Source organism: Homo sapiens, chromosome 9, assembly GCF_000001405.40.
Source record: "Homo sapiens chromosome 9, GRCh38.p14 Primary Assembly".
NCBI lineage: Eukaryota > Metazoa > Chordata > Mammalia > Primates > Hominidae > Homo > Homo sapiens.
In genome coordinates, this window is record NC_000009.12 from 14,781,356 (window position 1) to 14,804,450 (window position 23,095).

The 23,095-nt window shown below is 38.7% G+C and overlaps 1 protein-coding gene and 1 long non-coding RNA gene across 33 annotated transcripts in view; one reads left to right on the forward strand and one right to left on the reverse strand.

The window, feature by feature from the left end:
• FREM1 (FRAS1 related extracellular matrix 1) overlaps positions 1-23,095 on the reverse strand; it is a 173,844-nt gene that overhangs the window by 44,204 nt on the left and 106,545 nt on the right. For 23 of the 32 annotated variants that reach the window (NR_163239.2, NM_144966.7, XM_047422844.1 and 20 more), the window contains 5 exons: positions 20,297-20,519; positions 16,143-16,287; positions 11,388-11,529; positions 7,564-7,759; positions 3,015-3,279 (listed from right to left, as the gene is read on the reverse strand). Coding sequence is in view for 29 of the 32 variants with exons in the window: in NM_144966.7 (NP_659403.4) it covers positions 3,015-3,279; positions 7,564-7,759; positions 11,388-11,529; positions 16,143-16,287; positions 20,297-20,519 (971 nt within the window). In the remaining 3 variants the exon portion in view is untranslated. Of the gene's footprint in view, positions 1-3,014; positions 3,280-6,719; positions 6,823-7,563; positions 9,904-11,387; positions 11,530-16,142; positions 16,288-20,296; positions 20,520-23,095 lie in introns of those variants that run through there. The other 9 variants (XM_047422858.1, XM_047422857.1, XM_047422856.1 and 6 more) reach the window with 6 other exon arrangements.
• Positions 12,399-14,136, forward strand: LOC105375979 (uncharacterized). Its single transcript, XR_001746623.2, has 3 exons — positions 12,399-12,488; positions 13,929-13,985; positions 14,066-14,136. It is a non-coding gene; the product is annotated as an uncharacterized LOC105375979 (long non-coding RNA).

Consider the following 23,095-nt stretch of genomic DNA (forward strand, 5'->3'; position numbering starts at 1 on the left):
ATTGTTTATTTTCTCCCTAAAACCTTGTTTCCTAATCTTGAGTAATTGAAACCATATTTTTGCCATATGCCTGTACTATGTGTACTCTTATTATTTACTAGTTTTCTATCAATTCAATTTTTAACTTGAATCAATGTATTTAAAAGGAAACCTTTTAACTACTAAAAACTGAATACTTGCAAGCATAAAAAATTTGTTTTCTTATATTTAGTTTTATGGTATTTATAGTACTGTTTTTAGTATCAACACCCACACACACTCACACACAACACACACACCTAAGTTCCATCAGTACATTGGGCTGAAGGCCCCAGAATCTCAATCTCTGGGAGGCCCTAAAAAGGCTTCTATAAATTCTTTTTTTTGAGATGGAGTTTCGCTCTTGTTGCCCAGGCTGGAGTGTAGTGGCACCATCGTGGCTCACTGCAACTTCTGCCTCCCGGGCTCAAGCAATTCTCTTGCCACAGCCTCCTAAGTAGCTAGGATTACAGGTGCCCGCCACCACTCCCAACTAATTTTTTGTATTTTTAGTAGAGACGGGGTTTCGCCATGTTGGCCAGGCTGGTCTCGAACTCCTGACCTCAGGTGATCCACCTGCCTCGTCCTCCTAAAGTGCTGGGATTACAGGCGTGAGCCACTGCCCCAGCCTCAACTTCCATAAATTCTTGAGGCTCCTCAGAACAATTCAGAACAACAGACTAGACCAGACTATTGATGGCTAGTCCTGACTGCATCAGAATTACCTGAAGATATCTTTCAAAAATACAGATTTCTGGGCCTGAGACTGGACTTACCAAAGTTGCCTCTCTGGGGTAAGGCCCAAGAATTTGCATTTTGTAGTTCTCTCTGGCAATTATCTGAGGATCCAGAAATGTAGAAATTCCTGGGATAAATGATTTCTAAAATGCCATCTAATAAGACTTTCTCTGGATGCAAATTAGGAAATTTTTACAGTATTGCCAATCGTTTCATACGGAGGTTTTGTTCTTTATTCTCACCATTCGATTAATATCTAACCTTCATTTCTGAACATCTTTATGCATTCAGTCCTGTGTTCTCCAGCAAGGTCACTGGTTTCTTCAAGACAGTCACTAATGTCTTCAGCAGACTGTCCTGTGGGCATTGACGGAGGGAAGCAGGAAATGAAAGAAGCTAGAAGTTCCAGAAATGCATGTAAAATTAAAAGCCCTGGATCTGATACAAATGTATTAAGCCAAGAAGCACCCAGCCTTCATAAGCAAACAGGAAAAAAAGAACAATCATTGCTCCTCTTGGTAACTCCTTTCCTCCTTCAAGATCATACTTGGTGTTGTAAAGATTGGAAGAAGGTCGTCAAGGAAAGAATATAATGACAACAACAACGACAGTAAGAGTAGTAGCTAACACTTACTTAGTTCTTCCTATGTGCCAGGTGTTGTTCTACTAATACTTTACATGCATAAGCTCATATAAACCTCCCGCAACCTTGTGAGGCAGGTGCTACGAGCATCATTCCATTTCAAAGAAGAGGAAACAAGAGCACAGGAGGTTGTGTAACCTGATGATTGTCACAGAGTTGTGAGTCACTCAGGCAGTTCTTGCCCCCAAGCCTGTATCTTAACTTCACTACTCCATCTCTCAAACAAAAGAGCCAGCTTGAAAAGGAATCCCCACATCTCACATTTTAGTGAATGCCTAGCAACACTCAAAGACTGAACTAGTTAAAATATTGATCAATTAAATGATTACCTGCTTGTTAAGGGACACTTATCAAGAGAAAAAAATAAGATATTCGTTCCAGCTTTCTGGGATTTTTTGTTTTGTTTTGTTGGATTATCCAAATCAGCTTTCAAAAATCATTTTAATGCTAAAAAGGTGAGCAGCATCCTCTTTACTGACATCTAACCAGTGTTTATCAGAGCAGATATATTGAATTTAGATAGGTAAAAGTAAGATAGAGGACAGTGATATTCGAACATGGGTGTGACAGTGATACTTGATAGTTTATGGGAACCCATTGAATAATATAGGAGTATGCTCCATTTATGTTATTTTATAGTGCTCTTTAGAAGACTGTATTGTGACGTGGTGAAAATTGCACCAGGAACCAAAAGTGTGGGTGTACAATAGACAAACCAGTGCTCTCCAGGCCTCCTTCTGAACTGACAGAACTCAAAACTGGATTGTATACAATGGTTCGTTCAAAGTCCAACATTTCCCAGTTCTCATGCCCGGCCTGGGGATCTGTGTTTCTCTCCAGGACCTCAGGATCAACCAGCTTTGAGAGCTGCGAGATTATAGATCTTCTGGACTTGGCTCTTGCTTTATGTGACTTGAAACAAATTTCCATATTTTAAATGAATGTAGATTTTCATTAATGTTGTATCTTTGCCTTTTCACCAGATTGTTATTCATTCCAATGATTTATTTGATACGGAATTCTGGAACAGGTGCGCAGCCCCCAATTACAACATTGTTTCTATGGGGAAATATGATCTACTTTATGACAACATGATTTATGATACAGTTACCAGAACACATTGTGTCAAAAGGCAGTCTCTGTTTATGCCAAATGTTTACTAATAAATCCCTTTTCGTCAGACAGAAAAACATACTCCAAAAAGAGGGAAATGACTTTTCCAGATCTATCTTTAGCTGGGAGCCTCAGCTTTTCACATTTCTCCTCGTAGCAGAACTTGCATAAAGATCTGTTTACTGTGTATATTTTTCAATAACAGGCCCTAATTTCTTGCTTTGCTTCTGTCATTTTAATCGTGTGGCTTCACCTTACATACAACAAGACAGTAAAAGAAAAACACAGCTGCACCAGAGCTGAAAAATGACTCATTTTTTTCTCCTTTTCTTTCCTTTTTTTAAAAAACAAATTTCATTCTATAAATTTAAGGTATACAGCGTGATGTTATAAGATACATGTATTTTGTGAAATGGTTACTATAGTGAAGCACATTAACAGATCTCCTTTTCTGTAAGTATTAATCCAAAGAAGGGGTTTGAAAAGTTTCCATGGGGCTCACCTGAATCTGTCACTGGAGACAGTCACCTTGCTCTTGTGTACATAGCAAACTGTCTGCCCCACTACATCCATTTGGCTGAAGTTTGTAATGGGAACTCCAGGATAGTGAACATATTCGATCTGGCCATATCGCGGAGGGGAGGTGATGACATAGAGCAGTTCCTCAGGCTTGTCTGTTCCGTCCACAGCCAGGAGCGTGGTGGTTGTTAAGAAACCTCTATCACCTTTAGACACCACGAGTGGTTTTGTAAGGATGACAATATCACCTACATGACATAAGAGGTTATGGTCAATAATCATATCAAAAAACACATTATGTCCAAGGCAAAGGCAGAAGACAAAGGCCAAAACTGTGCAAAAATCAAAATTAATACGACATAGAAAGGTTTATATAACTATTATGAATAAAAATAATTAACCAAAAGGCATGAGCAGATATTTCACAGAAGAAGAAATTCACGTGGCCAGTAAAGATATTTTTAAATGCTCAAGCTCATTAGTAATTATGGAAATACAAATATCATGATAAATTGTCATCTCATAACTTTTTGATTGGCAAGGATGTAGAAGCCTGACTGTACAAAGTGTTGAAGACATAGCTCAAGAGAGTCTTGCATACAATTTTGGAAAGAGTGTAAATTGGTACAAGATTTGGCATTATTTTGTAAAGAGTCGAATGTTCACGTATACCTTGACCCAGCAATTCCACCCCAGCTATGTACTTGAAAGAAACACTTGCCCTGCTACGCTTGGAGACATGCACCCAAATGGTCATTGCAGTACTGTCTGTAATTGAAAGCATTACATGCAACCCAAATGCCTTTTCAAAAAGTGAATGTATACACAAACTGTGTTCTGTTCACACAACTGAATTTCATGCAGTAGTCAAATGAATGAACTACAGCTACATGGAACAACACAGATGTAGTTTATTAACATTCATTAGTTATATGAGCAAGCTGAGAAAATGATAAAAGTAAGAAGAAATACAAAATTTAGAATGGTATTTTTTTCTGGAGAACGTAGGAAGATGTCTATTGTTAATATTCCAGTCCTTCAATTGTGTGGTAGTTGCACAAATGTTCATGATATATTTTTTAAATGTATATTTATACAACCATATTCATATCAGGATTATTCACAATAGCCAAGAGATGCAAACAACTCAAGTGCCTCTCAACAGATGAGTGGATAAACAAAATGTGGCATATACATACACTGTAATACCATTCAGCCTTAAAAGGGAAGGGAGTCCTGGCACATGCTACAACATGCATGAACCTTGGGGACATTATGCTAAGTGAAATAAGCCAGTCATGAAAAGATATCCACTTACATGAAGTACCTAGAGTAGCAAAACTCATAGAGACAGAACACAGGACAATGGTTGCCAGGGAGGGGGAAATGAGGAGTCATTATTTAATGGGTATAGACTTTAAGTTTTCTGAGATGAAAAAATTCTGGAGATTGGATGGACAACAACATGAATATATTTAACACTATGAACTGGTACACTTAAAAATGGTTAAGATGGTACATTTTGTGTTATGCATAATTCACCACTATTTTTTTTAAATGTATGACTGAGGAAGGTAGAAGTGGGTCACACATGGACCAATGATGCAGTTTCACAAACTAGGGACCATAATTGAATTTTGTTCACCTGACGTCCATTACCAAGTGATCATATCTCAAATATAGGGCTTCTACTCTATGTCAGGTACAGAACTAAAGACCCTTACACCTTCACACTAATCTTGTGAGGTATTGTCATATCATATGCCCAAATTACAAATGAGGAAGCTAAGGTATAGAAATGCTAACTTACCTGCTTGTGGTTACAAAATTAATAAAACATTGAGTGAGAATTCGTACGCAAGCCATCTGAGCCCAGAGCACAAGCTCTTAAACACTGCATTATTTTGTTCCCTGTCTTTAATACCTAGGGAGCTCTTGTGAACTAATACTGAAAGGGTGAATATCCAAAAAGAAAAACACGTGATGTAAATGCCAAGCTATTTCTGAACTTAAAAACACAGTGGCCAAAAAAATTTTTTTAAAGATATTCAGCCTCATGAAGAAATAAGAAATACAAATAAACCATCAAAGTGGTACAATTTTAACCAGTGGTTCTCAACGACAGGCAATTTTGCTCCCCAAGGGACATTTGGCAATGTCTGGAGACATTTTTGGTTGTCATAACTGGGAGTTGCTACTGGCTTCTAGATTCAGAGACCTGGGATGCTGCTAAACATTTTACAATGCACAAGGGAGTCACCTGCAATAAAGAATCCTCCATCCCAAAATGTCAATGGTGCCATGATTGGAAAACGCTATTTCAGATTACTAAATTGGTCTTTTCATATACTATGCTTTTATCTCAAAATGCTTTGCAACTTCAGTCCTACGTAGAATCAAAGACCATTCTAAATTTAAATCAAAACCTTAGCCACAGATGCTACAGACAGAAGCAAGATGAATACATCAAGGAAGTAAGAAGAATGAATTAGGTGGGGGAAACACAAAGCACCCACGAGAGGTTTCACCAGGAGCAGGAAATGGACCTGAGGGGAGGAAGAGCAACCAGCTCTTGCCTTGATGCAAGTTTTCAGCACTGTAAGGGCAGAGTGTAGGTTAGAGTCAACTATAGACAATGTCCTCCTAAACTTATCTGAAAGATCTCAACATCATTTCTGCCACTGTGCAAATCAGAAAACACAGCAACACAGCAGTTGGGAAGCTTAATGTTATTTATAATAGCTCCCAAATGGAAACAACCAAATGCTCAACTTTAAGGTTGTGATTAAATCTAACTCTTTAGTATAGTCTTGTTTAGAGATAAACAATTATGGCTACAAAGTTATGCAGCAACCTGAAAAAACTCATGTTAAGTAAAACAAAACAAAACAAAACAAAACAAAAAACTGTACAGTGACAAAACACCACTTTGTAAGAAGAAACAAAGAAGAAAAAATTTGAACTGAAAATGTTAATAGGATAATGTGTCTACTCGGTATAGGTTTTCAAAAATCCTTTTAGAAAATAATCACATGTCAATTGCAGCAGAGTCTGGCAACGCACTGGCTAACTTTATTTCCTTTCTTCCTGGGTGCAAAGCTAAAGTTTCTATTGCCCAGCCTCTCTTAATGTGGCATGTGGCTGTGATTCAGCCACTGGAATGTGTACAAGAGAGGTACACAACCTTCACACCTAGTGCATGACATCCCCTAATTTTCTTCCATATCTCACTTCTTGAGTGACTCTAAGGCCTTCAGAATAAGGGAATGTCTAGATATAAAGAGTCCCTAGATGACTATGTGGAACAGAGCTCTCCTATGTCACTGTAAAGTTGTGTTGTGCTGAGCCAATGAGAAGGTGGCCTACTCTAATACACTAGTTGTCTGCCCTAATATATTACTTGTATTACGATTTGCCTGGACATACATTTATGATGAACATAGTTGTTTTGCAGGGAGAGATAAATGTGTACAGTAACATCTAGCTTATCTGAAATCACTCATTAGACTTCTTTAAGGAACACATTTACAACCAGGAAATAAGCAAATAAAATATATTATTACACAGCTCAATGTAAACATCTCAAGATCAAACTGAATTAATTTTTTAAAAATTTAGGACAATTATAATTCTGCCACACATAAAGCAAGATTTTTTTTTTATTATTGCACTTAAGCATTCAATTTACCTCTGAGCTTCCTGGCAGCCAAGGCAAAAAAAGGGAAGCATTCAGTCAATCAAGCATGTACTGAGGATCTAAGATTATGCTTCATCCTGGGAATATCTAGATCCTGGGATAATACAGATGAATGAGATATGATCCTCACATAAGCTGAAGCAAAATTACAGGGTAGTAACAGTTGGGTATCAAGAGCTTCTACTCTTCCTTGCTGAGCTTTTTAAACAAACTCTCCTCCATCTTCCATTTAACTCTCCCCCATTCACCACTTATACAACTGACTCTGCTTAATTAACTCACAAGAAGTTGATCTTATAGTGTCTTTCCTTGTCCCTAAAGAGTATATGTTAGCACTTTCAAAGTGAAAGAAGCAGCAACTTCCAGCCTTTCTAATGACAAAGTTTATCTTTATTATTTTTAAATTTTAAAATGTATTTTTCATTTATTATTTTATTGTTTTAGAAGTACTTTTCCTTTGAAACTCCATTTTCCAGTGATAGATCACTTCCTGAAGATAAAACTAGAGTTACACATCAACTTGGTAAAATTTTACTTAAAGCAAAAAAATCCTAACAGTTAAAGTAGCCTGTATAGCCATATTGTGTGCAAGGCTGAATTTCCAATAAACTTTTTAAAATAACGAATGGATTGGCTACTTCTGTGAACCACATAGGTCCCAGGCAAAGCAGGTGAGAAGCCAAAGGATCTAAACACAAATGATAGAATTTCAAAGATGAAGAGTGGCAGGAAAAAAGGAAAGAAGGGAGGGAAAGAGAGAGAAAGAAACGAATGTGGAATACTTATACCAGTTAGCAAAGTTGATCCCAGTAAACCTTGGTAGACGTGCTTTTACCTTTTTCCATGTCCTTGATGGTGATTTGACAGTCAAGAGCAGGGGACCTGTTGTTGCCATCCCAAAGGTAGAAGGTGAAGCTATCTTGATTCTGGGAATCCATTGCCCCGGTGTGTGTGTATCTCAGCAAGTTCAGATCCACTTCCTCCTGAGTGCATTTCATGCCAGGGGAGAGAGGAACCCAGTCCCTCCCTATCTGGAAGGAGCCAGAGTTAGTCAGCTGCTCATGGTTTTTTCTTTTCCCCCAACGTACGTTAGTGGACATTTTCTGTATCCCCTAAAAACCTCCAATATAAATAATATTTCAGGGAAATTCCAGACTACTTTTTGCCACTTTACCTGATTTTTTTTTCTTTTCAAAGAAATATATTAGAATAATTTGAGACCTTGGAAAAACACCGGCTTCAACCAAAGGGTTTCAGACGAAGTCAAACAATTCAACAGCATTGTTACTTCCAAGGTGTTCCTCATAAGCAACCATAGCTGATTGAATATTCCAATTAATAAGAGGAGGTGGGTAATCGAGCTCTTGGAAGGGATTCTTTAGAAATTAAATGTATTTCTTTCAGAGTTTCCATTTTTTAGTTCTTTTCATGTTCAACTAGTCAAATATACTTTTTTTCAACATGGCTCATTACTGGGCTTGTCTGAAGTAGACAGAACAAAAATAGAACAGATGCATTTACTCCCCAGTATGTTTCCAGCCTTACTAAAGAAAGAAAATGATGGGGATCACTATCACTACCTACATTTATATCCTAAGTCATCAAAAAATATAAACTGCAAATATCGTATATTGTTTTTATCAGAATCTTCTAAAAGTAAGCCAACATTATTTAAGCATATGTTTTGTACAGAGCTTGATGCAGAAATTGTGGCATTTTGAATTTAAAAAGGTTCTTATGCTGAGGGGGGTGGCTAACAACTGACAGTGTTAGAAAATGTAATCATAAATCTTTATTATCTTATTAATAATCCTATTATTGTTCATTTAAGGTACATAGCTTTCCCTAGGAATGGCTCATAAAAAGTCATCAGACATAATTTTTTAAAGTCATCTTAAAATTTATTATATGATATTATCCTGTGGTTTTACTGTCTCATTTAAGAGTCTAAAACAGAAATGTAAATCATTTACTTTTTATTCCCCTTGATACTTTGGTCCAAGACTTTGCCCATCTGAACCTAAACAATGGGGGCTCTGGTACAGCAAGGGGAGGTGGCACAGCAGTGGGATGAAGACACTGACCTTTCATCTTTTAAGTTCATGTCAGATAGAATACAGACTTCCAGATTCCACAGACTCCCAGTTCCTGGCAAAAGAGCTTTGTCCTCCTCTCTTGCCATTGTGCTACCACTTGCCTTTATGTCATTCTACTTGATAACGTTTCTTTCTCTTTAATATGTTTATCCATCTGATGTTTGTAGACTTATGTTCTGCCCTCACGCTCACTGGATGGAAGTTAATTACATCATAATAATTAAGCTAGAGTTTGTTTCCATAAGACCTATTTGCCAATATAATTTTTAAAACAGACTCTTTCAGGTTTTAAACGGGAAAGCCTGCAATTGTATTTCACATTTTCCCTTTTCTAATCTTGTCTAAGGAAGTAAGCACAGAAGAAGACATCTTTTCCTCTCTCTTGTCTCCATGTAATTCCTTACTTGCACTCCAAAATGTAAGACTGACTTAATAAAATCATTTGAAGACCCAGAAATAGAAAGAAAATAAAAGTCAGATTCAAGATGGCGAAAACTAAGAGAAGTCAATAAGAAAACGATAACTCTTGGGAGAGTCCAGGAGGGCTGGAGTCCTGGTCCTTGGTCTTGGAAAGACTCGGAGAACTGCTAGGGAGCTGGGAGAGAACTGTGTGGAGCCATACTGGGAACCTGGACCCATCTGCATTTTCACATATCCAAAACAGTTCCGTTCCCAAGCCACCCAAATGTGTGAGCTCTCACTGCATTTCTGCTTCATTACTCTTTGAAATGAAATAAGGACACAGCTGTACCTCAATTTAAATCAGTGATTGCTCTTCACTCTGATTCTCTATGGTGCCTACAATCTATGACAATCAAGCTGTTCCACATAGAATGAATTCTTGCTGCTTTTCTAGGACTGTGCCTCCACTAGATGGAAAGTTAAGCATTCCATCAAATAATTGCAATGGGGATGGTTGGTGGTTGTGGTTGCTAGTCTTAATCTACCATTGAAATAAACATTTGGACTGATTACTCAACTGACCTTCTCAGGTGACTGATCTATATAATTCACGTTGGGCTGATCCTTGGGCATCATGCACACAGTCTGAATCAGACTGAAATTTTGCTATTCTAGGCCTAAAGTGAAACAAGGACATTTTATCAAATCACAGAGCAAGCTATTGAGTTAGCAGTAAAACCCAGGTGACCTACCCCTAGAATCCTCCCTTTATTGTTTCCATGCTTATTTGCTTTCCATTAAAGCATCTAATTTTGAGAACATATACAATTCCAGGAATGTTAATTTACGGTGTCATGCAGTTCATGGGATTCAAATTTGGCAGTTGTTAAAATCTGTTATGCTAGCAGGATGGGATGACTCCCACGTGAAGTTTTCTCCCACACTGCCTTTTTGGTCCAAGACTTTGCCCATCTGAACCTAAACAATAAGGGTTCTGGTGCTGCAAGGGGAGGTGGGACTGCAGTGGGATGAAGACACTGAACTTTCGTCTTTTAAGTTCATGTCAGATAGAATACAGAACAATTTGGCATATTGTTTGTGGAGTAAGTAGTCTCCCTGGAGAAGACATAAGGATGGCCCCTGCTCAGCGACAAAGATGAGAATTGGAAGGAAAGAAAGAAAGATGCTCACTGTGGCAAATCATTGAGAAGGCAGGAGGTGATAATACTCAGATAATGGTTTGTTTTGTTTTGTTTTGTTTTGTTTTTTAAGACGGAGTCTTGCTCTGTCACCCAGGCTGGAGTGCAGCAGCACAATCTCAGCTCACTGCAACCTCTCCCCCCTCTCCCGGGTTCAAGTAATTCTCCTGCCTCCGCCTGCAGAGTAATGAGTAGCTGGGATTACATGTGTGTGCTGCCACACCCGGCTAATTTTTGCATTTTTAGTAGAGATGGGGTTTCACCACGTTGGCCAGGATGGTCTTGATCTCCTGACCTTGTGATCCGCCCACCTTGGCCTCCCAAAGTGCTGGGATTCAGATAATGTTTTAACAGAGACATTAGGGCCAGAGGAGCTAGAGGCAGCCCTCCAAGTTTCCTTGGACCTGATTATCATGAAAAAATAATGAAAGTTTTCATTTTCCTGAGAATGATCTAGAATTTAGCTGAAATACACACACCCACACACACACGCACACACACACACACACACACACACACACACAGAGAGAGAGAGAGATTGAGAGAACAAGAAAGACTGTAGACTTGAAGGAGTTTTATAATTGAGATGATGGATGCTAAAGAGGAAAGTTACATGAATCACAAGTCAAAAATCTGGTAGAAATGAAGATATCACAAAAGATCCTGGATTATCCTCAGAAAGCAGACAGCTTGGTTTACCCCAGTAATTCCCTCCCTCAGAATTTAGGGATAATCCTACGGGAGAGGGAGCAATGAAGAATCTTAATATTTGTTGAATTTACCCCATGTTGACAAAGACTTTAGAACAGCATGAATTCACCCTGAACTAGTAAAATTAAATTTTCTACTTCTAGGCAAATATATGTCTATCAGAGAATAAATCCCATCATAGAAATGTGTATATTGAGAAGATTTATACCTGCTACGTTAGTTTTGAAAAATAAAAGTAAGAAGTCACTAACCTTAAGCTGAAGTTGCCCATTTTGGGGAAGCCTTTCAAATACATAGTAAATCTTCTCCCTGGGTGAGTCTTCATCTATGGCTGAAAGAATAGCACTGGAAATAATACGAGTTTCACCCATATTCATTGCAATTTCAGCCTTCCTGTAAAAAGAAAAATGTCTGGGTTGATATAAAAATAGAAGATATTCCTTTAGTAGGGGACACTTATATTGACTATCACAGTTCCCAATCTTCAACAATTAAGGAATGACATTCAATATTCAAAGCACTGAAGATGACTAGTGAGAGGAATGAAACAGGCTCTCTACCCTCACACGTGAAAGTCTGAAAAGACAATGGGTCAGCCCTAATGAATGTGGGAAGAGGTAATTAGGCACTTCTAATTGATTACATGTACCAAACTTTACAATTTTGTAAGTTATAATTTATTCTATAAAATGATCTTGTTTCCAGTATTTCATTTTACACTCACAACAACAGCTCCATGAAGTAAGAGGGCTAGGTATGAGTGTTCTAATTTTACAGACAGAAACTCAATTAAAGAGATTCATTGACTGGCCTACAGATGTTCCAGTGCCATTGATGATATGCCATTCTGAGTTAGGTGATAGTTAGGTAATCTGGGACTCTCTAAATTACTCTTCCTCTTCTAAGTAATGTTCTGGGTAGTATGTGTTCTTGTTGTAGATTCATCTTTTCCCAGTGTTACAGATGCCAGGTCAGCTCCTGTCTTCTTGAACAGTAGGCTGGGGCAGAGCTGCTGCTGATCCTACCAGAGCCACCACTGCTGTGGTTTCTATAGCTCCTTTACTGTGCGGTGCTGCTGCCTTCACAGCCTATATGGCCATTGTCCCTGGTCTCGCCAAAGTGAGAAAGGGATCTCTTTCCACCAGGGTTTCTAGCTCTCAGTTGTGGTCATCATGTGGGGCCTAACTCTGTCCAACTTTACAGCTTAGTTTCTGAGAAAAATTGGGATGCCTGAATTTCTTGGGATTCAGATGAAGGATACTTGAGAACCAGCAACTGGCATCAACAGTGTTATGCTCCTCTGCGGAGATGCCAAAACCTGAACACCTCAGTTCCAACAACTTTCACTCAGGGTGAGTATCTTGCTACCCAGGGCTGACATCTTCCCTCGCAGTGGGTGGTGACATTTGCACACCTCTTTACTAGAGAATGGGAATCCCATTATTCCAGAAAGCTAAGCAATCAGTTGGTTGAGGGCTTATGGAGATTAGTGGTCAGACAGATTAATCAAAACGGGAAGCCAATGTCATTAAGAAGATGAAGAGTTTGGTAGGAAGAATTCAGAATTAAATTTCTGGTCAGAATGAAATGTTTGCAATTCAGTGTCAGAATTCAATGTCTGGAAGCCAAGACAGGACAAGGTGTGTCATAATCTAGGTTATCCTAAAAGGATCCTAGGACAAGGAAGGTAATTTATTTGTGAAGTGATTCCAGGAGGCAGGAGAGAGGGAGTAGGAGAGAAAGGGAAGGAGAAAAAGGCAACAAAGGGTGTTTTACTGCTATGGGGAATTGGGGCTCAATCCTGCTGGGTATCTTGAGGAACCACATAGATGTGATTCAAACTGTGCTCCTAATGGACAGGAAGCTGGAGCATTTATCTTATCTACTAGCTCCCGAGGTTAAGGGCTGTCCCCAGAGTGCTCTCTGCTGAGCATGGACATGGGCTGCATGAAAGCCCTGAGGCAGAAAAGTGGAGTGAGGCACTGCGGACACCTGAGGTGGGACACTGACATGGCAAATTCCACCACGATCAGGACCAGAATCAGAGATGGGCTGAGGGGCTGTGATCTGCAGGACCCAAAGCATCCTCTACAGTAGCTAAAAGGAATAGCAAAGAAATGGTGTTACATGCTCTCAAAGAGTCCAGGAAGGTTAGAAGAGCCATTAGATTTGGCGGGAAAGCCAAGAGTAACTTTTAAGGGAGCATCTTTAATAAAGTGGAGATTGGGCCGGGCGCAGTGCCTCATGCCTGTAATCCCAGCACTTTTGGAGGCTGAGGCAGGCAGATCACGAGGTCAGGAGATCGAGACCATACTGGCCAACATGGTGAAACCCCATTTCTACCAAAAATACAAAAATTAGCCAGGCGTGGTGGCAGGCGCCTGTAGTCCCAGCTACTTGGGAGGCTGAGGCAGGAGAATGGTGTGAACCTGGGAGACAGAGCTTGCAGTGAACCAACATCGTGCCACTGCACTCCAGCCTGGGTGACAGAGCGAGACTTTCTCTCAAAAAAAAAAAAAAAAAAATAGAAAAGAAAGAAAGAAAAAAATAATAAAGTGGAGATTGGAGAAAGTGGGCAGAAATGGAACTCTTCCAAAAAGTTCCTCAGTGAAATGAATGGGGGACTAGCTTGTCTTTGTATTTTTACAATTAGGATATCTGCTTGTAATAATAACAATAACACTTAGTAGCACTTACCACGTAGTAGCTAGTCTTTCAAGCATGTTTACATATTTTATTTAATCCTTGCAACAATCCTATTAAGAGGATACCACTATTGTCCTCATTTACAGAGAGGTTAACAGAGAGATTGAGAGAAGTTAAACAACATGTTCAAGATCACACTGTTGGTAAGTGGCTGAACTGAGTCAATCTGACTCCAGCATTTGCTCTCTTAACCACAATCCATATCCCTTTGTCTTGTTAACAGAGGAAATGAAAAGGGAGAGACTGAAGATACTGGAGGAAAAAATAATGGAGCAGTTTCCGGGAGAAGGAAAGAGGTGATATGCCCAAGGACACACATGGAAGAGAAAGAGAGTGTTATTACTTCCTATCCACAGGAGAGAAGGAAAGAGGAAGCACAGAAAAGGGAGGGTTTTTGAAGCAGGGTTGAAGGAGGTTTGATGATTCTGTAGATGTAGCTATTCCAGTGAGTTTAGTAACAAGAGCATGGCCTTTGGAGTCAAATGGAGTTGAGTGGGTGCCTAGTGTAAGCTCTTTTACCTCTCTGGTCTCAGTTTTCCTCAGTCAGGATAATAATATGCATTTTCCACAATTTTGGTGAGGATTTAATGAAATAATATATGTGAAAGAATCTAATATACTGTCTGTCCTATAGTAAGCACTTAATAAATGCCAGTTTTTACCCCTCTCCAGTGGATGCCCCGGGGCCCTCACCCTGCCAGCTTTCACCTCCCTGCCTCTTAAAATGAGATCATCAAAAAGGAGGTACTGTAATACTATGACAGCCTTCATATTTTCATATTTATAAATAAAGGCTATACTAATCCAACATATTAGCTAAGAAATAAGAAAATAGAAATTTTTTGGTGAATACTTTTAGACAAACTGATGTATGAGATGCAACCCTCCAAAAATCTATCATCAGTATTTCCCATAATGCTTTTTAAGAACCTTATCAGTGGCTCATAGGGAACAGCAGGATATGGGGCAGATAAGGAAGGGACTTGTTTGAGGCCCTCCTTTCTGCAGAGTGGAAGAGATTTGGGGGGTTTGGGTGCTTTCAGTAAGTTATTCACTCCCTGATAAAAACCCAGACTATCTACAACATGTCTCTTACTGTTGCACTATTGAAAAAAGAGGTGAAGTCATCAAGGAGGTTCCAAGAACCAGATGCTTTTTTACTTATAGCTCTAGAGAAGAGTTGGTCCCCTAAAACTCTGTTCAGTTCTGTAGACTGTGTACAGTTCTGTATAGCTGCCAATTGTAAAAGAAATGGCTGGGGCTATAGAAATAGAACTAATGAATACTCTATACCCTATGATCAAACTCTGAGCACTTACAGAGAGAGTGATATGGTTTGGCTGTGTCCTCACCCAAATCTCATCTTGATTGTAGTTCCCATAATCTCCATGTGTTGTGGGAGGGACCAGGTAGAGATAATTGAATCGTGGGGCAGTTTCCCCCATCCTGTTCTCGTGATAGTGAGTCAGTTCTCACAAGATCTGATGGTTTTATAAGGGGCTTTCCCCTTTACTGGGCACTTGTTTTTCTCTCTCCTGCTACCATGTGAAGAAGGATGTGTTTGCTTCCTCTTCTGTCATGATTGTAAGTTTCCTGAGTCCTCCCAATCCCTACAGAGCTGTGAGTAAATTAAACCTCTTTTCTTTATAAGTTACTCAGTCTTGGGTATGTCCTTATAGCAGTGTGAGAACAGACTAATACAGGGAGATACTGAGAAAGTTTACAATTGAATAATATCGCTCAGAATTTTAGAAAATGATGATTTCGATGTGAGGCGGGAGGGGGTGTTGACCCATATGGAACACAGTAGAGAACTGGTGGACAAAAAAGTACCAAGATAATGAAAGAAGTGGGTTGATTTATTTCCCTCCGCCACGCTTAGTTACAAGTTTCAGCAAATCTGTTGTAAGGACTGTCTGCAGTTAATGTTATTAGACTTTAGTTGAATCTATATATTAATTGCACTTTGGTAGGTGTGCAGTCACGTTGGTGTAAGTGCATGTATTTATATGTTTAGTAGATTGTTCATTCCATACTGTGTGTTCAGTCATTCTTATTCTTTACAACTAATTAGTATGTTTAGAAGAAAATCAAGTAATTAAACGGCTGATTGTTAAGGAGAGGTTACCTTAACTAACATTTGCACTAAAGGTTCCTCATGCCTGAGTGGCAGGGGCAAGCTGTGACAGGAGCTAGCGAAGACTTGCTTCTTTGGGAGACACACACACACCTGTACCTAGTATTGTAGATTTCATAGAATTGTATAGAAATCTGAAAGGGACTCTTTTCAGGTAGCTTACTTGCTCAGCATTGGTTTTTCATCATTAACTGGGATGACCTCTACTGAAATGGTTTTAAGTATCTTATGTTTCCCATCTGACAATTGGATTGTAAAATCATCAGCAAGGCTCTCTGAGTCATCATGCATGTACGTCAACCTCATTCCTGGAAGAAGGAAAAAAAATAAGTAAATCTTCCTTATGATTGAACCATCATGACATATGTCACAGATAATGTCTTAATTTTCAAGGCAGGGGTATTAGCAAGAGTTCATTTATCAGTGCAGTAGGGTGAAATTAAACTTGTTTTATGAAGTAAAAGAGTGCCTTCTTAGCCTATTAAAGACTTTTTATTTAAATAATTTAGTATTTGATTAAGGGTGTTATTTAAAATCAGTTAGGAAAGAATATATTTTTAAATAAACTATATAAACAAAGGTGCAGGGTATTTAAATAAAACTGAGAAAGTTAATTATTTGGGGAAAATTATAGAGTTATATCCCTACCTCGAGCCAATCATCAAAATGAATTCTTAATAGGTCAAAACTTAAATATTAACAATGTAACTGTTTTTTTTAAATCTACCTAACATTTAAATGGAAATTCAAGAGTCTCAGAACAGCCAAAACAGCCTAGAAAAAGAACAAAATTGGAAGCCTAACATTTCACATTTTCAAAACTTACTTCAAAGCTACTAAAATGCTAGAAGATGTGCACCCAGATTTATATAAAATGTTTACTGAAATATAAGTTTTAATATCAAGAAACTGAAAACTATCTGGATATTTTAAAGTTGTATAAAATATTTTAAAGTTGTATTTTAAAGATAGTTGTATAAAATTACAGCACAGGAGCCAGTACAGTGGTGAGCGCCTGTAGTCCTAACAACTTTTCGGGGCTCAAGTGGGAGGATCGCTTGAGGCCAGGAGTTCGAGGCCAGTTCGGAAAACATAATGAGACCTTGTCTTTAAAAGAATTTTTTTTTTGAAACACTAGCCAGGTGACGCCTGTAGTCATAGCTGCTCAAGAGGCTCAGGCAGGGAGGAATGCTTGATCCCAGGAATTTGAGGCTGCAGTGAGCTATGATCATCCCACTTCACTCAAGCCTGGGTGACAAAGTCATCTCTTTTAAAAAATTACAGCATAATAAGTCTATATGATGATTTTATAAGGTAATTATCAAAAGTTACGTTTTTAATAATAACAATTTTTTTTGTGACAGAGTCTCACTCTGTCACCCAGGCTGGAATGCAGTGACATGATATTGGCTCACTACAACATCTACCTCCTGGGTTCAAGCGATTCTCATGCCTCAGCCTCCCAAGTAGCTGGGGTTACAGACAGGTGTGACCACACCTGGCTAATTTTTGTATTTTTAATAGAGTCTGGGTTTTGCCATGTTGGCCAGGCTGGTCTCGAACTCCTGACCTCAAGTGATCCACCCATCCTGGCCTCCCAAAGTGCTGGGATTACACGTGTGAACCACCACACCCGGTCTCCATGTTTTAAAAGTAAGAAGAGGCCAGTTATGGTGACCTACTCCTGTAATACCAGCACTTTGGAAGGCGAGTGCAGGAAAATCACTTGAGCCCAGGAGTTCGAGACCAGCCTGGACAACACAGGGAGACCCTGTCTCTACAAAACTTTTTTTTCATCAGCCAGTGGTATGTGTGATGACTTGTGCCTGTGGTCCCAGCTAGTTGGGAGGCTGAGGTCAGAGGATCACTTGAGCCCTGGAAGTCCAGGCTGGAGTGAACTGTGATTGCACAACCACAATCCAGCCTAAGTGACAGTGCAAGACCCTGTCTCCAAAAAAAAAAAAGGTAAGAAGAAAAACAGATTACATAATATGGGAAGAGTTTTATAAACTTTGTATATTTGTTTGGGGGGATGTTTATGAGAATATGCTAAAGTTTTTAAAAAATGTAGCCATAAATGAACCACAGATAAAATAGAGGTGAAAATCTAATTTCTGAGAAAGTCTCCAAAATATCAACCCAAATACTAATTTTTATGTAGGAAATTTTTATTTTTTCTTCAAAATGACTGTGTCCAAACTGTACACAATGATCATATAATTCTTATTTAACTAGATAATAACCAACAAATGTTATTTTTTAAAAAATTGACTTTCTTGAGAGTAAAATTTGAATTATTATTATTTTTTCCTTGGTCAAATTTGAAAAAAAAATTTTAAACAATGTATTCTATTATTTGTAGCATGTGGTTTATTGATTTGGTAATATCATCATTTATGTCCTAGAATGTATTTCTTTGCAATTGATAAAAGCTGAGAAATATATAAATGCATTTTTTTCTTTTTTTTTATTATTATTATACTTTAAGTTTTAGGGTACATGTGCACAATGTGCAGGTTAGTTACATATGTATACATGTGCCATGCTGGTGTGCTGCACCCATTAACTCATCATTTCGCACTAGATATATCTCCTAATGCTATCCCTCCCCCCTCCCCCCACCCCACAACAGTCCCCAGAGTGTGATGTTCCCCTTCCTGTGTCCATGTGTTCTCATTGTTCAATTCCCAACTATGAGTGAGAACATGCAGTGTTTGGTTATAAATGCATTTTTTAAATTTAAACCTGAGATGATTTTTGCAACAATTACAAAAAAACCTTTGGGGCAGAAAGCTTACACACTAGTTGGGGAAACAAATAACTAAAAGAAGTTGGAAAAATGTTAAACAAGTGCTAAGATGAAACAAGCACAGAGAAGGAGTGGTTTGGAGACCTTGGGTGGGGCTCAAGCAGAGGTTAACAGAAAGGTGCGTTCTGAAGGCACAGCCTTGGCTAGCCTGGCAAAGGAGGGGGAAGGACCTTACAGGCTGGGAAAAGAAAACACCTAAGGAAGGAGAATGGGAGGAAGCAGTAATTCAGGAACCGCACACTTTTCTCAGATTTTTAAAAGTATTTTCATATGTGAAAAGTGGGATAAGATTGAATTTTTTAAAAGAGTAATTAAAAAATAATTCAGGCTGCTATGCAATGTGCCATTTCTCTAAAGAGTAAATTATCCCCTCAGAAAATAATGAGCATTATTATATGTGGTTCTATATTTGTTTCAACTGTGGAAATTTTGGCAGACCAGTCTCTTAAACTGTAGTTTCATGATCTCAATAGTTTTAAAAAGGATTTTTTTTACTATAGCATTAAATGTTTGAGTGAAAATACAATAAAAACTCAAATATCATTTTTAATGGTAGTCTAAAAGTGAAAGAAAACATGTTGTTGCCTTTTCAATTACCTACTACCTCTACCTAGGGCTTCCTGTCCTACATTAATCCAAGCCTAGAGAGAGCCCTTGAGAGACAAATGAATAAAGTAGGTGAATGCTATTTCTTCATCCCCTATTTCTGTGATGTATTATTACCTTTTCTAGGTTAAATTATTTTAAAATTTTTATTTTTTAATTGGCAAATAAACATTGTATATATTTATGATATATAATGGGGTGTTTTGATGCATGTATACATTGTGAAATGGGTTTATTTTGGTTTTTGTTTGTTTGTTTTTTGACAGAGTCTCACTCTGTCGCCCAGGCTGGAAGTCTGGAGTGCAGTGGCACGATCTCGGCTCACTGCAACTTCTGCCTCCCAGGCTCAAGCGATTTCGTGCCTCAGCCTCCTGAGTAGCTGGGATTACAGAAGTGCACCATCACACTCGGCTAATTTTTGTATTTTTAGTAGAGACAGGGTTTCACCATGTTGGCCAGGCTGGTGTCAAATTCCTGACCTCAAGTGATCCACCTGTCTTCGTCTCCCAAAGTTTTGGGATTACAGGCGTGAGCCACCAGGCCCGGCCACGCTGTGGAATGGTTAAGTCAAGCTAATTAACATATGCATTACTTCTCATACTCATTTTTTTGATTGGTGAGAACTCTTAAAATCTACTGTCTTAGGAATTTTCAAGTATGCAATATATTGTTAACTATGGTAATTATGCTGTACAATAAATCTCTTGAACTTACTTCTCCTGTCTAACCGAAATTTCATATCCTTTAACCAACATCTCCCCAATCCTCCCACCCTCAGCCTCTAGTAACCATCATTCTACTCTCTGCTTATATTAGTTTGACCTTTTTAGATTTCACATATAAGTATGGGTTAAATTATTCAATCAACAATAACAAATGCATGGAAGTGGAACATGCTATACCAGTCTTGAGGAGTTCCATGGAAAAGCTGTGAACAGGTGCATGTTTCTGGTGAGGGTTGGCTGGCTGCTTATTCTCAGAGAAGTCTTTGCTAAACCCCCTATCGATGAGGAGGCCATGGCGTGGCTTTTGAGTGATGCTGAACAGCAGGGCATCCTGGGGAATGTCCAGGTCCACAGCGCTGATGATGGAAGAGTCCAGCTCTTTCATCTGACCCTCACACACCTGAGCAAGAACACATGAGAAAAGTCAACAATGCATAAAAGACAACTTGTCTTTCTTTGGAAAACTGCTTAAAGAAATCACTTGAATATATCCTACTTCAAATTTTCTATGAGATTTATATAGGATGAGTCCTAAAAAGAAATTGCTGGTTTAATATGAATGTAAAGGAAGTAACAGATCTATTAATCTCCCTTACATTTTTTTCTGAAGATTTCAAAGCACTTTATTCATTTCCATGAAGGACAAAGGACATATAATTTTTAAAATATGTATTGTTCATAAGTCAAAGGTCAGGGGAAAAATGCAACCAAGACGGTGTTTGCTTTCAAGAAGTCATGGAAAAGTTCAGTTGTAAAACTGAATCTAGAACCTTCACCTTCATAAACCAATCCTCGTGGATCTCCTTGCTTCTACAAGTCTTACATTTCCATCTGCTTTATAAGTGATACAAATATTTGCTACATACACTAAGCATATTTGGTGGTTTTTATTTTTGTTATCGCAGTAAAAACTTCTGTATTTCCACTGAAATCAACAACAATGCCAAAGGATGCTACTGGATGCATAATTATGTATATTTTCATAATGGGTCCCTCATCTCCCTCCCATTCTTATACTTCCAAATTTCCTGAACTACTCTTCCCATTCCCTCTCACACCCACTTCAGGTTTCATAATCCTTTAAACACAAAGACAATTAAATGTTTATCATTTCATGTAGTATCTAGTCATTTAGAACTTGACAATATGTTACTTAGCTGATTCAATCTTTTTTTCTCACGAGGATTGAGAGAACAAAAAAGTATTTCTGTTGCCCATTTTGAAATATAGCAAAATCTAAATAATAAGAGTATATAAATTCTACACATGCATATTGGTAATCTGCAATGTTACTATGCTACATAGTATTCTCAACAACCCAAGTCAGGTAAGACTGCAAAGGTCCATCAATAACTATAACTCAAGGAAGAAAATGTCTAGTGCTGCTAGATATTCATAAACAAGAATCACAAAAGGGCAGAGATCAGGATGTTTTCATGACTGAGAAGGCAATTAAGCCTTGAAGGACATGTATGGTTTGAATTTGTGAAAACTTCCTTCCTTCCTTCCTCTTTCCCTCCCTCCCTCCCTTCCTCCCTCCCTTTCTTTCTTCTTTCTCTTTCTTTTCTTCTTTCTCTTTCTTTTTCTTTTCTTTCTTTCTCTTTCCTTCCTTCCTCTCTTCTTCTCTTTCCCTCCCTCCCTCCCTCTTTTCCTTTCCCTTTCTCCCTTTTCCCCTTCCTTCCTTCATCTTTCTTTCTCTCTTTCCCTCCTTCCCTTCCTCCCTCCCTCTTTCTTCTTTCTCTTTTCTTTCTCTTTCTTTCTCTCTCCTTCCTTCCTCTCTTCCTCTCTTTCTTTCCCTCCCTCCCTTTTTTCTTTTCCTTTCCCTTTCTCTCTTTTTCTTTTCCCCTCCCCTCCCCTACCCTCCTCCTTCCTTCCTTTCTTCCTTCTTTCCATCCTTCCTTCCTTCCTCATAGTCTTCTCTGTTGCCCAGGCTACAGTACAGTGGCTCAATCATGGCTCACTGCACACTCACCCACCCAGGCTTAAGCAATCCTCCCACCTCAGCCCCCAAGTAGCTAGGACCATAGGCATGTGTCACCAGCCTGGCTAATTTTTAAAATTTATTTTTATTATTTGTAGAGATGGGGTTTTGCCACATTGCCCAGGCTGGTCTTGAACTCTTGGGCTCAAAGGATCCTCCTGCTTCAGCCTCCCAAAGTGCTGGGATTACAGGCGTGAGCCACCATGCCTGGCCTAAAGCATCCTTTCATTTCACCCTCTCTTACTGACTTTGAAGGGCACCCTCCTGCAACCACATTTTATTGAACATGTGTTAACAAAAAAACACTTGCCATATATGATACTTGTGCTAAAAGGATGCTGATTTTCTTTTATCTAGCCCTACTTATTAAATATTAAAGTGGCATCATAGTTCAACTTACAATGGTATACTTATGAAAACATTTTAAATAGGACCTTGCCTTTTTCTCCAAGAACTTTAATAAAGCAACTTAAAATATGTTATAATATCCTTCTTCATAGAGCTTGACTAAAACGTGTGGTTGTTTCTTGCAGATTGAATAGATTATTGAGATTAGGACAACAAAAATTTTAGATCAATATACATAAAATGCCAAACCTGATTAGTAGACAGGTTTGGAATGGATTATAATAACTTAAACTAAAACCTCAAATCTTCTTGCAGCATAACTTGATGGAAGCCCAGCTATCTACAAAATAAATGCATTTTCTCACAAGAAAGCAAAATATGGTTATCTAAAAAAAAATTATGCGAAGCTTAAAGTCTGCTTGCCCGTAACACACAGGACTTCATATTTTTCACTCTCCAGTAGTCTCTCTAGGGAATGCAGGTAAAACCATGACAACTTTGGCTGGGTGCGGTGGCTCATGCCTGTAATCCCAGCACTTTGGAAGGCCGAGGCGGGCGGATCACGAGGTCAGGAGATCAAGACCATCCTGGCTAACACGGTGAAACCCCGTCTCTAGTGAAAATACAAAAAATTAGCCGGGCGTGGT